Source organism: Homo sapiens, chromosome 2 (genome assembly GCF_000001405.40).
Source record: "Homo sapiens chromosome 2, GRCh38.p14 Primary Assembly".
Classification (NCBI taxonomy): Eukaryota; Metazoa; Chordata; class Mammalia; order Primates; family Hominidae; genus Homo; species Homo sapiens.
The window spans coordinates 33,847,864-33,864,905 of NC_000002.12; the positions used below are offsets into that span (position 1 = coordinate 33,847,864).

The 17,042-nt window shown below is 42.1% G+C and overlaps 1 long non-coding RNA gene across 1 annotated transcript in view, besides 1 other annotated feature; it reads left to right on the forward strand.

The window, feature by feature from the left end:
- Positions 1 to 17,042, forward strand: part of LINC01317 (long intergenic non-protein coding RNA 1317) — a 590,861-nt gene that overhangs the window by 140,978 nt on the left and 432,841 nt on the right. Inside the window, exon 2 of the long non-coding RNA NR_126403.1 lies at positions 7,825 to 7,890. This is a non-coding gene — a long non-coding RNA (long intergenic non-protein coding RNA 1317). The remainder of the gene's footprint in view (positions 1 to 7,824; positions 7,891 to 17,042) is intronic.
- Positions 15,054 to 16,253: an enhancer, noted in NCBI's record as "BRD4-independent group 4 enhancer chr2:34087984-34089183 (GRCh37/hg19 assembly coordinates)". NCBI's record gives its function as "activates an origin of replication core promoter dependent on BRD2, P300/CBP, MED14 and CDK7 cofactors, and independent of BRD4, by STARR-seq in HCT116 cells {active_cell/tissue: HCT116}" and the evidence as "EXISTENCE:reporter gene assay evidence [ECO:0000049][PMID:35650434]".

Genomic DNA, 17,042 nt, shown 5'->3' on the forward strand with positions numbered 1-17,042 from the left:
TTAATAGCTTTTCTGAGCTCTGTGAATCATTCTAATGGGATGTTAAACCAGAGGATGGCCTTGGGAGACCCCCCAGTATAGTTGGGATTGTAAGTAGGATTTGTTGGGATGACCCTTACTCGCTGAAACATGGCAAAAGCATAGTTTGGGAAATGAAAGAATGAGAGGACAGGGGTGGACAAACTTTTGATTCCTATATGGCCACTAGATATGAAACAGCTTGAAATAGCGGCTGTGCCATGATTCTTTACTATAGGTAAAAGTCTCCAGTGGAATTTAGAAATGGTAAGTCCAACTCTCAAGTATTTGGGTTCCCTGTATACATCAGGAAATGCAAAACAAGAAACTAGCCAAATGTACAATTCCTTGCTTAGTGTTATCCATAATAGCTGAAATGAAAGTAGAAGATAGTGTTGGGGCAGATCCTAACACTGCATATATACCAAGCTCAGATTTCAGCCACTAAGCCTCAGGGCCACCACCAAAAGGATAATTTATGGTGGGACAACAGATAGAACCTCTGCAATCTCTGTTTACCAAGCAAGCAGTCTAAGTGGGAGAGGAGGGCCAAACCAAGAAACTACTGAAAGCAGAGGGTATGGCGTGAAGGAGTTGTCTCAATTTGTGGATTAATATCAATAACTTCCTAAAAAACCTTTACTAAAATGGATCGTGAGAGTGGCCAGTTCAGGGGCAAGTCACTCTCCTTGCTTTTGAATTCTGCAGAATGAAAGAGCATGTTTGGGTTGACACATAGCTATTGACTAATCACAGATGACTGTATGTGATTCAGACACATAGCATGTTATTTCCAAGGAGACAGATTGTGTGGAGGACTGAGTGGAATTCATCTGAGCATATGAATTCTCCTTCTCCTCCTTTAAATGCGAAAAAGAACTCCACAGATGAAGTGGCCAATATGTTGCATATGCAAGCCATGCTAGATTGACTTTATGATGATCAGGATGTCTCATAACCAGGTCATGGTAAATGCAGTGATTAAGGGAAGCTCTTTTGTGTGGGCACCCTATGTAAGCTTACTGCTGTAAAATCAAGCAATGGTCTGTGGGTGGGCCTTGTTAGGTTTGTTGTCTCAGCTTTGCCTTCTGGGTCTACAGATGCTGAGAAAGAGCAGTTCGCAAAAGAATGAGGCAAAGACAAAGGGTAGATTCAAGGGACTCTTCCCAGCAGGGTGAAAAATTTTAGATGGCAATTATTAAGTAGCATGAATAAAGCAAACATTGATGGGTTTGAAACAAGGTCTTGAAGCAGCACTGTGGGAAGCTGGGTGTACATATGGGAGCCCCTGATGGACCCCAGCATTGAAAAGCCATAAACAAAACCACTCTATTTACTTAATTTTAAAGAGTTTAAAAAGTTAGAAAGCAAAGGTGATAATGAGAAACCTGACTTAATTGCTGGGGGTGATGGTCTGGCCAGTTAATCAGGATGAAGATTTATAAAGGAATGAGGGTGTTGTTGTGCAATCCCTACATACACATATGTGGGTAAAATGGCCATCAAGTGGAAAAGAAAGTTTCCTGGGACTCCTTAATATGGGAGTCAAATGCACTGTGATTCCAGAACCTTTTGGTGAATTTCTAATAGGGCTACAGTTAGATTGAAGGATATTGGAGATGCAGTGGTTGATGGGATTTAGGTGAAAGTTTGGATAAAAATTAGAATATTCAAATGTACTTTAAGTGAAATCATTGTGTCTACTTTTCCTGAATGTGTTATTGGAGTAAATATTATGCTTGACTGGGGAACACTTGTCTACCTAGTATTGTAAAACATGAGGCATGTAGGTTATCTTTCAGCTAGTATTAATTGGACATTCCAAATGAGAATCTATAGAATTGCCTGATCCCATACAGGTTGTTAATCTGAAACAGTATAGAATACCTGGTGGACAATAAAGACCTTACTACTTTAATTAAGGACAATATTAGAAGCTGGAGTGCTGGTATCAAAAGTTCTCTGTACAATAGCCCTGGGTGACCCATGAAAAAGTACGTGACTAATGGAGATTCAAAGTATACTACTGAGGCTGGAATAAAGATGTGCAGCCTGTAGCATCAGCCGTCCTTGATATGGTTTCAATAGTGCAAAAATACAGTAGGCCAAAGAGAATGATGCTCAGTGATTTATCTTGCAAATTCTTTTTTTCCTGTATCAATCAGAAAAGAGCCAACCATAGTTTGGCTTTACATGGAAGGATCCCATTTTACATTTACTGTATCGCCACAGGGTTATTTGATATAACCAGCTTATTTTCATAATTTGATTAGAAGAGATTCAGACTTGATGCAGGTCTGAAGTTTAATAATGCACATATATTAATAATATAAAAAATCAGAAACAGAAGAATGAGCAAAACTGACATTAATGCAATGCTGGCGCACATTGCCAACAAAAACCTGATTGATAAATCTAGCAAAGATTCAGGGTTCTGCCCAAATGATAAAATTCTTAGTAATAACCTGGACAGGAGCCACCACAGGCATTCCACAGATGACTGAAAATAAGCTGCTGTTGTTGTCTCTCCTGAGAACTAAGTAAGAATCACAGTACCTTGCCAATTTCCTTGTATTTTGGAGGATACATATTCCACATCTGGGAATATTGCTAGATTCTATCCATAAAACTACCTGAAAGAAGGTCATATTTGAATGGAATCCTCGACAAAACCAGACTATGTCTGAATTGCAAAAAGTGGTAGCCCTCTCAATCCTTTTGGCCCTTATGATCCACACTCAGATAGGATTTTGGAAGCATCTGTAACACACACTTATGCAGACTAGAGCTTATGGCAAAAGTCTGTCACTACCACCCGGAGTGACTGCTGGAATTTAGAAACAGAAAATTTCCGTATGCAGTAGTATTGTATATACCCTTTGAGAGACAATTACCAGCTTGCACTGACAATAATCGAAACTGCCCCTATGACTGAAGGACATAAAATAATGTGGAATCCTGAAATATCCATAATGTCTTGGATGATATTAGAGAAACATTTTAATATGGAATGCAGACACAAAATAGTTCCATAATAAAATGGAAATGATTTATATGGGAACATGCTACTTGGGAGAGTGCAAGGAGGTAGTCATCACATTTAAGAGCAGATACCCCTCTTCCCCCTATAGCTGACTTTGGAACCACAAGAGGAACTGCAGGATGTTACTGTCACACCAGTGGTGCCCTATGAACAGCTCTCTATTGGCCAAGAAAACACTGCTTGGTTTATGGATGGCAGCTGCCAGGTGGACCGACATCACCTTATTTGAAGGCCTGTCACACTGTGACTGACTGATGGAAAAACTGATTGAAGAAGGCAAGAACCAATCACCTTAGTAGACTGAATAGCATGGTGTTTTTCTTGCAGTGGTGGAAGAATTGAACAATGATAATAGCCCCTATGTTTGGGTTTTTGCCAACTCATGGGCATTGGCCAATGGTTTGGCTATATGGTCAGTTAGATGGGCAATGAAAAATTAGACTAATAAAGAGATTCCTGTATAGGGTATGCCCCTATGGAAATGACTACGGGAATATAAATGATGCATTAAAGTAGGAAATCTTGATGCCCATCAGAAGAACATCCTTCTAAGATTGGAAGGTGATTGAAACCACCAAATCTGGTGTTTTCGCTTGAGGGGGCCACCTAGGTCCATGAAATGAATGAATATGGAGGAGCTGTAGGAATGCAAAGATGGTCTGGTCATCAACATACACCTTTTACACCTCTGCGGCACAAAATGTCAACAAGAACTGTCCAGTCTACCAGCAAGAAAGACAGAGACTGTGGAGGGCTATGGGACAGGCTCCCCAGGGAGAAGGACCTGCACGGAGCTGGAAAATAGGCTACATTGGACTGGTGCCAGTATCTCAGAGAGACTGTAATTGTATCTTGACAAGAATAAACACTAACTTAGGACTGGACTTTGCCTACCTGATGGGAGAAGAAAATGCTCACAATGTTACCCAAACATCAGACTTCAGTCTAGATCCTGCTGTTCACTGCACAGAAAAACGATCACTGAGACAAGGAGTATTGCCAGGGAAGAAGGATTTATTTGCATGCTGCAGCCAAGGAGAACAGGAGATCAGGCTCAAATTTGTCTCCTCAACTGACTGAAATTTGGGGTTTATATAGCAGGGAGGAAATGTAACCACATGTGAAAAAATAGGAATTCGGGAAAGATAAGGAAGAGGAATTGGTCAACAGGAAGCAGGTGGTCGGTTAGCCAATCATGATGGGTGACAGGTCTGGTGTCTCACTATCTAGATGTGATGATATGGTGAGTTTCGTCTTCTTGATACTGTCTGGGTGGCCTGTGGGTCAGTTTCCAAGAAAGGAACTCAGATAAGACAAATGTAAGTTTCAAGCTTTAAGACTGAGGAGGTCAATTTCTAAGTTTATCCAAAAAATAGTAAACATTACTTCCATGGGCCACTTGGGCTGATTTTAACAAGACTAAAAGGTCTGTACTGGTCCATTCTTGCATTGCTATTAAGAAATGCCTCAGGCTGGGTAGTTTATAAGAAAAGAGGTTTAATTGGCTCACGTTTCTTCAGACTGTATGGGAAGCCTAGAAGCATCTGTCTCTGGGGAGGCCTCAGGAGGCTTACAATCATGTCAGAAGGCAAAGGGGGAACAGGCACATGACATGGTGAAAGCAGGAGCAAGCAGGAGAGGTCAAGGGAAGGGGAGTGCCACACACTTTTAAATGACAGGATTGTGCAAGCACTCACTATCATGAAGACAGCACCAAGCCATGAGAGATCTACCCCCCTGATTAAAATACAATTTGACATGAGATTTGGGCAGGGACAAATATGCAAACTGTTTCAATCTGCCCTGGCCCCTCCTAAATTTCACATCTTTCTCACATTGCAAAATATAATCATACCTTCCCAACAGTCCCCCAAAGTCTTAACTCATTCCAGTGTTAATTCAAGAGTCCAAAGTTCAAAGTCTCATCTGAGACAAGGAAAATCCCTTCTACCTATGAGCCTGTAAAATGAGAAATGAGTTAGTTACTTCCATGATACAATAGAGGTATAGGAATTGGGTAAACATTGTTGTTCCAAAAGGGAGAAATTGGCTAAAAGAAAAGGGCTACAGGCCCCATGGAAGTTTGAAACCCAGCAGGGCAGTCATTAAATCTTTAAGCTCCAAAGTAATTTCCTTAGACTCCATATCCTGTACCCAGGGCATACTAGTGCAAGGGATGGGCTCCCAAGGCCTCAGGCAACCCTGTGGCTTTGCAGGGTGCAGCCCCCACAGCTGCTCTCATGAGATGGAGTGCTGCATCTTTCCCAGGTGCAGTGTCCAAGCTACTGGTGGATCTACCATTTTTGGGTCTAGAGGATGGTGGCTTTCTTCTCACAGTTCCACTAGGCAGATCCCCACTGGGGACTCTGTGTGGGGGCTCTAGCCCTACATTTCTCCTTAGGGGGCTCTAGTAGAGGTTCTCTGGGGGCTCTGCCTCTGCAACAGGCTTCTGTCTGGGCACCCAGGCTTTTCCATACATCTTCTGAAGTCTGGGTGGAGAGTGCCAAGCCTTATTCACTCTTGCACTCTGTGCACCTGCAAGCTTATCACCAAGCTGCCAAGTCTTATGGTTTGTGTTCTCCAAAGTGGCAGCCTGAGCTGTACCTGGCCCCCTTTGAACCATAGCTGGAGCTGGAGCAGCTGGGATGTAGGGAGCAGTGTTCCCAGGCTGCACAGGGCAGTGGGTCCCTGGACCTGGCCTACAAAACCATTCTGTTGTGCAAAACCATTCCATCCTCTTAGGCCTCTGGGCCTGCCATGAGAGAGGCAGCCACTAAGGTTTCTGAAATGCTTTTGAGGCCTTTCTCCATTGTCTTGGATATTAGCTCTTGGTTCCCTTTTAGTTACGCTAATTTCTCTAGCAAGTGGTTGTTCCAGAGCCTGCTTGACTCTTTCTATGCCACATGGCTAGGCTGCAAATTTCCCAAGTTTTACGCTCTGCTTTCCTTTTAAATATAAATTCCATCTTTAAGTTTTTTTTTTCCTCCTGTACGTGAGCTGAGGCTGTTAGAAGCAGCCAGGCCACATCTTGAACACTTTGCTGCTCAGAAATTTTTTCCACCAGATACTCTAAATCATCACTCTTAAGCTTAAACTTCCACAGATCCCTAGGATCTGAACAAAATTCAGCCAACTTCTTTGCTAAAGCATAACATGTGGGACCTTTGCTCAAGTTCCTAGTAAGTCCCTCATTTTTATCTGAGACCTTGTTGGCCTAGACTTTACTGACTGTATGACTATCAGCATTTTGGTCATAACCATTTAACCAGTCTTTAAGAAGTTCCAAACATTTTCTCATTTTCTTTTCTTCTTCTGAGCCCTCCAAACTCTTGTAACCTCTTCTCATGACCCAGTTCCAAAGTTGCTTCTACATTTTCAGTTATCTTTATACCAATGTACCATTCCTAGATTCACTCTTGAACTAATGTTTTGTTTTAGGCCATTCTTGCATTCCTATAAATAAGTGCCTCAGGCTGGGCAATCTAAAAGAAAAGAGGTTTAATTGGCTCATGGTTCTGCAGGCTGTACAGGAAGTGTAGTGGCATCTGCTTCTAGGGCGCCCTCAGGAAGCTTACAATCATGGCAGAAGGTGAAGGAGCAGGAGGCACCTCACATGGCAAAAGCAGGAGCAAGCGACAGAGAGTGGGAGGGAGGTGCCACACACTTTTAAATGACCGGATTTTGTGAGAACTCACTATCACAAAGAGCACCAAGCCATGAGGGATCCACTTTCAAGATCCAAACACCTCTCACCAGGCCTCACCTCCAGCACTGGGGATTACAATCCAACATGAGATTTGGCGAGGGACGAATCTACAAACAATACAGATTGTAATAGAAGACAAATATACAAACTATATCAGACTGTAAAAGAAGATACTGTGCCAACTTGGACCACCAAGTTACTTTGTTTTTTATACCAAATATCATACTTTACAACCCATAGTGTCCAACAACAAGTAAATAGATCAACCAAGTAAACATGTTGCATATTATCCTCAAAGTAATGGTTTAATTGAATACTGTTGTTTAAAATGGGGGTGGGGGATAAAGGCATGAAGGGCTGGCTTACATGCCTTCATGAGTGTGTGCTCACATTTAATATGATGGGGGGGCTAGGAGAGGGATGGATATTATGTCTGACTGAGAATAATTCCCTACCTCGTACTATAAAACAGAAGACAGGTAATTTCACCTAGATAGATTCCTCTGCCTTTCCATGGAACTTGTGGAAGGGAGCTAGGGGAATATGCTGGTACAACAATACAGTTCTTTCCTACATGTCCTCAATTATTTTGTTTCCTACCTGATGCAGTAGTCCCAGGACCGGGGCTGCAACTGCAGATGCCAGAAGCAGGGATGATTGCTATGCAAGAAACTGTAACAATATCTTTAAACTTTTATGCCGGAATTCCTGAAGGCCTGATGGAATGGAATTTGCCTTCATCCTATCTGGCAAAATTGGAGTTGACAGTAAATGCAGCTGTATTGGTATTGCTTAGCGGTTGTAATGGCCTACAAATTCTGTACCTATGTAATCCTACCCTGAATGGGTGGTGCTATGGTTTGACTGTTTCTCCCAAAAAGCATGTGTTTCAAACTTAATTCCCAGTGCAACAGTGCTGGGATGTGGGACCTAAAGGGATGTGTATAGGTCATGAAGGGTTCACCCTTATGAGTGGATTAATGCTAATTACAAAAGTGCTTGAGGCTGCAAGTTTGATCTCTTGATTTCTTGTCCTCTTTTTGCCCTTCTGCCACAGGATGACACATCTAGAAGACCCTCACCTTATGCTTATGCTGGCCCCTTGATCTTGGCCTCCAGAAATGTGAGAAAATAAATTTTCGTTCATTATAAATTAGTCAGTGTTCTGTTATAGCAGCACAAAATGGACTAAAACAGAAAAGAATGAACTGAGGAGACACTTGACAGCCTGGTGTTTGTGCTCACAATCCAGACCAGCGGAGTGGCTATATAACTGTAATATGTTCATTGTCCAATGCACACAGCAAGTCAACATGCTAAGACACTGGCTTGCAACAGAGAAAGAGGCTTAATCATAGGGCTGCTGAATGATGAACAAAGCCATCTCCCCAAGGAGTTTGGGGATGGGGTTTTGGAGTGGGTAGAAGTGTAGAGATCTTTGATGGGTTGAAGAGTGCAGGGTGAAGTCATGGGACAGGGAAATAAACTATATTCTCATACTGATATGGTTTGGCTCCGTGTCCCCACCCAAATCTCATCTTGAATTGTACTCCCGTAATTCCCACTTGTTGTGGGAGGGACCCGGTGGGAGGTAATTCATGAGGTTGAATTATGAGGGTGGTTTCGTCCATACTCTTCTCATGGTAGTGAGTAAGTCTCATGAGATTGATGGTTTTATCAGGGGTTTCTGCTTTTGCATCTTCCTCATTCTCTCTTTGCCTGCTGCCATTTGTCTTAAGACAGGACTTGCTCCTCCTTGCCTTCCATCATGATTGTCAGGCTTCCCCAGCCATGTGGAACTGTAAGTCCAATTAAACCTCTTTCTTTTGTAAATTTCCCAGTCTGGGTTATGTCTTTATCAGCAGCATGAAAACAGACTAATACACATGCTTATTCTGTTTCTCTGTGGGGCGTCTTCAAATTATTTGGGGTCAGCTGTTTTTTGGGTTTTTTTTTTTTTTTTTTTTTTTTTTGAGATGGAGTCTCACTCTGTCGCCCAGGCTGGAGTGCAGTGGTGCAATCTCGGCTCACCGCAAGCTCCACCTCCCGGGTTCACACCATTCTCCTGCCTCAGCCTCCCGAGTAGCTGGGACTACAGGCGCCTGCCACTACACCCGGCTAATTTTTTTGTATTTTTAATAGAGACGGGGTTTCACCGCGGTCTGGATCTCCTGACCTCATGATCCACCCACCTCGGCCTCCCGAAGCGTTGGGATTACAGGCGTGAGCCACCGTGCCCGGCCTGGGGTCAGCTGTTATACTGGAATTCAGGATCTGAAAAATATCTTAAGCAATTCTTTTTTTCCCCCCAGAAAACCCCTTTACTTTTTACTCCACATTATATTACACAATGATCAGGTATTACATGACCTGGTTTTTTGGCTTTCTGACAATGAGATCTCTCTCCTTAAGTGATGAAGGGTTTCAAAGCTCTTAATGGAGATAAAGCCTGTCCCTGCCTTCTCCATCACCAAACATCCATTCTTTCTTAGGCAGATCAGGTAAAAATATGTTTGTCCACGAAGCACCATGAACACAACGCAGTCATCACCACTGCCCTTCCTTGAGGGAACAGCTTCCCTATGACACCTAAGAGGACTGGCATCCATGACGTCAAGCTGCAACTTCTCACCTGAGGCATAGATAGAGAGGCTGTCACAAAGTAGCAAGGATGCAAAACATGACAATTGTCTCATGACAATTCAAAACAAAGCTAAAGAACATCCTATGATCTTCAGCAATTCTTTGTTAAACAAACACCTTACTCTTCTAATGTCAGAGATCCTATCTATCTTAAACAAAAGCCTTGTGATTCTAACATCAGAAATCTTATCTATAGGAACAATGGGGATGCAAATGGTTAGTATCTAGTGCTACGTGGCTTTCAATTACAACGAAGTGGGTCAAAATGCAGTCCAATTAATGCTTAAGTATAACTATATTTTTGTTCAGAATACTTGTTAACTGGTGAGGATGGCTTCAGCTAAACCTAACATCCATTCCAAAAGTGGAAAAGTTTAGGTAAAAAGTAATGACAAATAGGTTGAGCTTGGTGGCTCATGTCTGTAATCCCAGCATTTTGGGAGGCTGAGGCAGGCGGATCATGAGGTCAGGAGATCGAGACCATCCTGCTAACATAGTGAAACCCCGTCTCCACTAAAAATACAAAAAATTAGCTGGGCGTGGTGGCAGGTGCTTGTAGTCCCAGCGACTTGGGAGGCTGAGGCAGGAGAGTGGTGTGAACCTGGGAGGCAGAGCTTGCAGTGAGCTGAGATTGCACCACTGCACTCCAGCCTGGGTGACAGAGCAAGACTCTGTCTCAAAAAAAAAAAAAAAAAAAAAAGAATGACAAATAAAGAGGAGAAATAGTAGCTGAGGGTAAAGAAAGGAATGAATACATGGATTATGAAATGAGGGAAATCCAATACTACAACAGCCCTTTGAGAGAGGCTGAGAGCAAGAGAACCATATTTTCTTTTAGTACAATATATCAGATACCCAAAAAGGGTGGAGCCATGTGTTTGCTGACATTACTCTTGCTTTTTGAACCTGACAAGTTCAAATGAAACCTGCAAAACCAAGTAGCATCACTCTGGGAGATATTTTGGTGATGGAATGATGAACTGGATCAATTGTTAGTAACTGAGTAGAACTCTAGTAATATGCTCATGTCTGTGGATTCTTATTTCAGGATACAACTATTACAAATAATATCACTTGGGAAAGAATTTCCAGGAACTATTCCCTACTGGGCCATCATACTTTGGTGTACAACTCTTGGCAAGACTCTTTACTGTGTAACTACAAACATTGATGATCAAATACTTAGAAAGTTCTCCGATTATAATGAAAAAATATATAGCAATCGTATGCCGAACGTCTTGCCATGTGCTGTCTACAAATACATATAACACGTGTTTTGTGGGTGGAAAGCTATTAAACAGAATAGGAAAAGACAATAGGTTTCTGAAGGTATTAAAGCAGTAGGCATCACGTGAGAGTGTGAATTCCCTGGGGGACAGCCCCATCCTGAGAGGAGGAAGGCTATGGAAAGCTTTATGGTTTAGTCAAAGTAAATCAATCTAGGTGTGACTACCACTCATCTAACCCCAGTATGGAGGACCATCATTTTGGGGTACAAAATAGGTATCCTAATTGCACTCACGCAATTAGTACACAATGGCAAAACATGCATGGTAGATTTAAACAACGTTGGTTCAGAAGACTGAAAGAGGGCTTTAGGAGAGAGAGACACCTGTCTAGGCATCATGGAACAAGCTGGTTTTGCTTTTGATGAAGAGCAGCATCCAGAGGAAATTATTTATTGACTAGATTGGGCAGATTAGAGGAAATTCTATTCCAGGAGGAAGACAGGAATGGAAGTCAACCTCAAAAGATTATAAAGTTTAGGGAAGACTCAAAATAATGCTGGATCCAGTGTTGAGAAAGTGCTTGTACTCTGAACCAACATGGCCTTTTGATTATTTTAATATAGTTGGAGGCCAAAGTAGCCATGGGCAATGTATTAGTCCATCTTCACACAGCTATAAAGAACTGCCCTAGACTGGGTAATTTATGAAGAAAATAGGTTTAATTGACTCACAGTTCTGCAGGCTTAACAGGAAGCATGACTGGAAGGCTTCAGGAAACTTACAATCATGGCAGAAGGTGAAGGGGAAGTAAGCACGTCTTATCATGGTGGAGCAGGAGAGACAGTGAGCGAAGTGGGTAGTACCACACACTTTCAAACAACCAGATCTTGTGAGAACTTACTCACGATCATGAGAACAGCAAGGGGGAAGTCCGCTTCCATAATTCAGTCACCTCCCACCAGGCCCTTCCTCTGACATGTAGGGATTACAATTCGAGATGAGACTTGGGTGGGGACACAGACTCAAAGAACGTCATTCTCACATTTGAAACCAATCATGCCTTCCCAGCAGTTAATGAGTTCTTAACTCATTCCAGCATTATCTCAAAAGTCCAGGTCCAAAGTCTTATCTGAGACGAGCAATTCCCTTCCACTTAATGAGCAGACATTGAGAAAGAAAGAAAATATAATCCAGGTTGCATCCAAACCTGAATCACTGCCCACCTGCAGCAAGAAAACACATTTTTCTACCACTCTTGCAATATGCATAAACTTTATAAAACCCACCCTTATTTCCCCTTCTCCTCTGCAAAAATTTCAGAAAGTCGGTGGCTATGTTTTTCAGGAGGGCTCAGAAGATGGGAATGTGAGAGAGGTAAGCACAGAGAATGGATTTGAAGGGTATTTTCTTTGCCATCTCATTTTCAGTCTCACTTCTGATCCTTTTAGCTGAACGGAAGTCTTCTGATCAGCGTTTCAACCTCCTTCCTTCCCCTCCTGCGGCTGTGTATTGTGCACACCAAACATTTACAGTGGCTAGCCATGGCTTTTACTATTGATCCTTTTTCTTTGTTGTGTTTTTCCTCTGAAAATTCCATTCAGTACTTCGGCATTAAAAAAGCTCGGTATGAATAAAAACAACATAATTCTCCCCTTTTGTGTCTCTGTGAGAAGCCAACACCACAATACTTTGTGACCATCTTCTGTGGCTAAAATGACTTCTAAAACTTGTGGTTGTGCTCGGAGTACTGAAACAGGATGTGCAGAACATTGGAACGGGGCCATTCATCAGCGAACAAACTTCCCTGGGTAGATATGCAGGGAGGATCTTGCAGGCTAAAGTTTCGTCTTTGTTTTTCCTGTTTGCTGCCAACTACAAGTTACAAATTGGATACAAATTCCTTAACCTTTGGCCGGCAACCCTCAATTTCATGCTGTCTAATTTATATGTAAACAAGGTCATACATTTGCCTTAATTATATTTGCCTTAAGTTTTTCCACCTTATTTAGGGGAGGTTTTTAGTTTCTGATTTCCTGAACGCTGGTTAACTCTTGACTTTCTGGAACGTTGTACCGCAGCATTACTCTGGAAATGTCAACATTAAAAAAAAAAAAAAAAAGTTGAAAAAAACAATGCCAATCAGTTGGCCTGATTTGAACACCAGGGTGCAGCCTTACGGTCACAGACTATTCTTTAGTATTGAAAACAAGATCCTAAAGACCGTGAATCAAAAATCAAGTCTCCATTTGACAAATAATTGGTAGCACAACCTTATTTTGTTTAAATACAATTAGGTAAGGGAAGTGAGAAGGAATTAAGTGATGGTAGAGACAGCTCTGACTTCCAATGTTGTCTACAAAGCCTCTCAATAGAGTGAAATCTATATTTTTCTCATCTCAATCGGAAGAAATGTTTTTATTTCATTTCATATGGCCTTGGCCTATAGTTTATTTATTTATTTATTTATTTTTAAAGTCTGTTTTCAGGAAAACTCCTTCCCGCATCCTCCTAGGAACTTCTCTGCAATCTTCTGTGTTGGCTGCTATGTTAGTTTTCTAGGGTTGCCATAACAAATTACCACAAGCTGAGTGGCTTATGTCAACAGAAATTTATTCTCTCACAGTTCTGGGGGCTAGAAGTTTGCAGACGAGCTGTTGGTAGGGCCATGCTCTTCTGAAGGAGTTAGCCAGCTTGCTTTAGGCAGAGAGCGAGGGAAGGGCCTGCAGAGAACATCCGACTCACCTCACAAGTGCCTACATCAGATGTTTTGTGCAAGTAAGGGAACTTGCACAGGGGGCTTGCCTAAACATACCTGCCACAGACTAAAGGCCAGCATGCACTGAGGTGGGGGGTGGAGGTACCCGGAATTCATGCTTTATGTAGCGCTATCAGCTTTTATAAAAAGTCCTTGTATTCAACTGTGAGGGGGGCAACTGGGAACCTGGTTTCAGGACCCCTCTCTTTGCTGAGGACTTTCCTTTCGCTTAATCAGTTCTACTCCACTCACTCTTCAAGTGTCTATGTGCCTACTTCTTTCTGGTTGTGAGGCAAGAACTCAGACCTAGCTGAGCTAAGGAGCAAAAATACCATGCATCACCTCTAAAAGGTCTAAGGAAGAATCTTTTCTTGCCTCTCCTAGTTTCTCGGGGTTGCCAGCACTCCCTGGCATTTCTTGGCTTGTAGAGGCATTGCTTCAGTCTCTGCGTCTGTCTTCACATGGCATTCTCCTTTCAGTCTCTCTGTACGTCTTTTTCTCATAAAGGCACCAGTTGTTGGATTTAGGGCCCACTGTAATCCAGAGTGACCTTACCTTAACTAATTACAGCCTCTAAGTCCCTCTTTCTTTTTTTTTTTTTTTTTTTTGAGACAAAGTCTTGCTCCGTTGCCAGGCTGGAGTGCAGTGGCGCAATCTCGGCTCACTGCAACCTACACCTCCCAGATCCAAGCGATTCCCCTGCCTCAGCCTCCCAAGTAGCTGGGACTACAGGTGTGCGCCACCATGCCTGGCTAATTTTTTGTATTTTAGTAGAGACGGGGTTTCACCATGTTGGCTGGGATGGTCTTGATCTCCTGACGTCATGATCTGCCCACCTCGGCCTCCCAAAGTGCTGGGATTACAAGCGTAAGTCACTGCACCCGGCCCACCCTATTTCTAAATAAGGTCACATTCTCAGTTTCCAGGTGGACATAAATTTTGGAGGACACTATGTAACCCACAAAGTTGTCTTTCACTCATTTAAACTAAGTATACGTGATACAGATGTGAAAATGTCAATCACATATTGTTACTGAAATGCCAGGAGTTTGGTCTAGGTCCTACTGCTCACCACACAGAAAGTCAATCACTGAGACAATTATTATTGCCAGAGAAGAAGGCTTTAAGGGTGCTTCAGCAGAGGAGATGTGAAATCAGCCTAAAATCCATATTCCTGACTGACTAAAATTAGGGGTTTATATAGCAGAAATGAAATGTAACCATGTGTGGGAAAACAGGAATTAGGGAGGCATAAGGAAGAGGAGTTAGTTTACAGGGAGCAGGTGGTCAGTTAGGCAATCATGATAGGTTAGGAGTTGGCGTCTTATTGTCCAGATGCAATCATCTGGTAAGTTACGGTTCCTTGACACTATCTGGGAGGACTGATGGTTGGTTTCCTGAGAGAGGAACTCAGATAAGACAGTAATAACTTTCTCAGGTTTTAAGATTGGGAGGATCAATTTCTATGTTTATTCCAAGAAACCATAAATATCAGTTCTGAGACAATTGGGCCAGTTTCAACATCTGGAAATTTTGTTTATTCAGTCACCTGAGGCTGGCATTTTGAGGATGGAGACCTCTTATTTTTTTAGGGATGTTATCAAGGTTTGTTATATAGGACTTAGTTATTTCTTTTGTTCACATGTGGACAGTCTTCAGACCTTTCCCATGTATTCAGTACAAACAGATAATGTATAGGAGTTGTCAGCACTAATGGACTAACTCCAGAACGCATGGGGAGCACTTTGAATCCTCCCTGCCAAGGACAGTGCAAAGATGCACCCTGCTAAGTCCCACAGAGGAATTTAGACCAACACCTACATTATCATTTCATGAAAATTTCTCTGGCTTAAGCTGTTGCTTATACTTGAGTTTTACAATTGAGAGACAGTATATTGTGTCTGGAATTGGTGGGTTCTTGGTCTCTCTCACTTCAAGAATGAAGCCGCGGACCCTCACGGTGTTACAGTTCTTAATGATGGTGTGGCTGGGGTTTGTTCCTTCTGTTGTTCAGACGTATCCAGAGTTTCCTCCCTCTGGTGGGTTCACGGTCTCGCTGACTCCAGGAGTGAATCTGCAGATCTTCACTATGATTGTTACAGTTCATAAAAGCAATGCATCCGGAGTTGTTTGTTCCTCCTGGTGGGTTCCTGGTCTTGCTGACTTCAAGAGTGAAGCTGCAGACCTTCTTGGTAAGTGTTACAGCTCATAAAGGTGGTGTGAACCCAACAAGTGAGCAGCAGCAAGATTTACCGGGAAGAGCAAAAGAACAAACCCTCCACAGGGTGGAAGGTGACCCAAGCAGGTTGCTTCTGCTGGCTTGGGTGGCCTGCTTATATTCCCTTATTTGGCCCCACCCACATCCTGCTGATTGGTCCATTTTACAGAGAGCTGATTGGTCCATTTTACTGAGTGCTGATTGGTCCATTTTACAGAGAGCTGATTGGTCCATTGTACCGAGTGCTGATTGGTCCGTATTACAGAGTGCTGATTGGTGCATTTACAAACCTTTAGCTAGACACAGAGTGCTGATTGGTGCATTTACAATCCTTTAGCTAGACAGAAAAGTTCTCCAAGTCCCCTACCTCATTAGCTAGACACAGAGCGCTGATTCATGTGTTTACAAACCATTAGCTAGACACAGAGCACTGATTGGTGCATTTACAATCCTTTAGCTAGACAGAAAAGTTCTCCAAGTTCCCACCCGACCCAGAAGCCCAGCCGGCTTCACCTCTCAGTGCGACCTACACTTCTAAAATCCAGTGAAAATCTAGTTGAAAAGGGATAATAACTCCTTGCCTTTCACTCTAGAAAAAAAGTCCTGTCTGGGTGTTGCTAAAATAGTTTAGTGATATGCTGCTAATACAGAGCAATTGAAATGTACTCATTTAAAAATATCTAACCTTGAGTAATCCATTAGTGGAAAAAATCCATTTTTTTCATTCATCAAAAACTGATATTCTGGAAAGAAGGAAAAAGAAACAAAGGATGAGGATAGTCACTGCATGAATTTCTTTCCAGATTTTTAAACTTAATTTCTGGTCTTTAGTCTCTCATCCTCTTTTCTGAACTTGTAGACATCTGTTTACTGGTATACACTGATAAGAGAAAATTTATGTAAGTAAAATTTATATAAGTTCCTGAAGGTTCTGCTTTAGATGTATAGATGGTGAGAGGTCTAGAATCTTAGGGAATATAGAAGATTGGCCTTGATGAGAAAATGCTGGAAGTCAGAGAAGCACCTGCGCAGAGAACAGCAAATGGATCTAGGTACAGGGGACATCAGGAAGCTTGAAGCAGAGAAATCTAATGAATCCCAAGACAGACATAGTGAGACAATTACAGTTAATCCATATCTTGAAGGCATTCCTTTGACATACAATCTGCAATCTGCCCTACTAACAACTATTTTCCCACATCTGCTAAATTTATAGAGTTATGCATGGGTTATCCCTAAGAGAGCATGATAAATGATATAGATAAATAATTATAACAGCGGTTTGCTTTATTGTTTTATAACAAGGAGACATATTAGGAAGAATTTGTTAATTCCTGGTTATCAATTGCTCAAGCTGTTTATGATTATTTTAGGGTTTTGAAATAAACTATGAATTCTTCTCTATTTGAGAATTGATAGGAAATGGAATT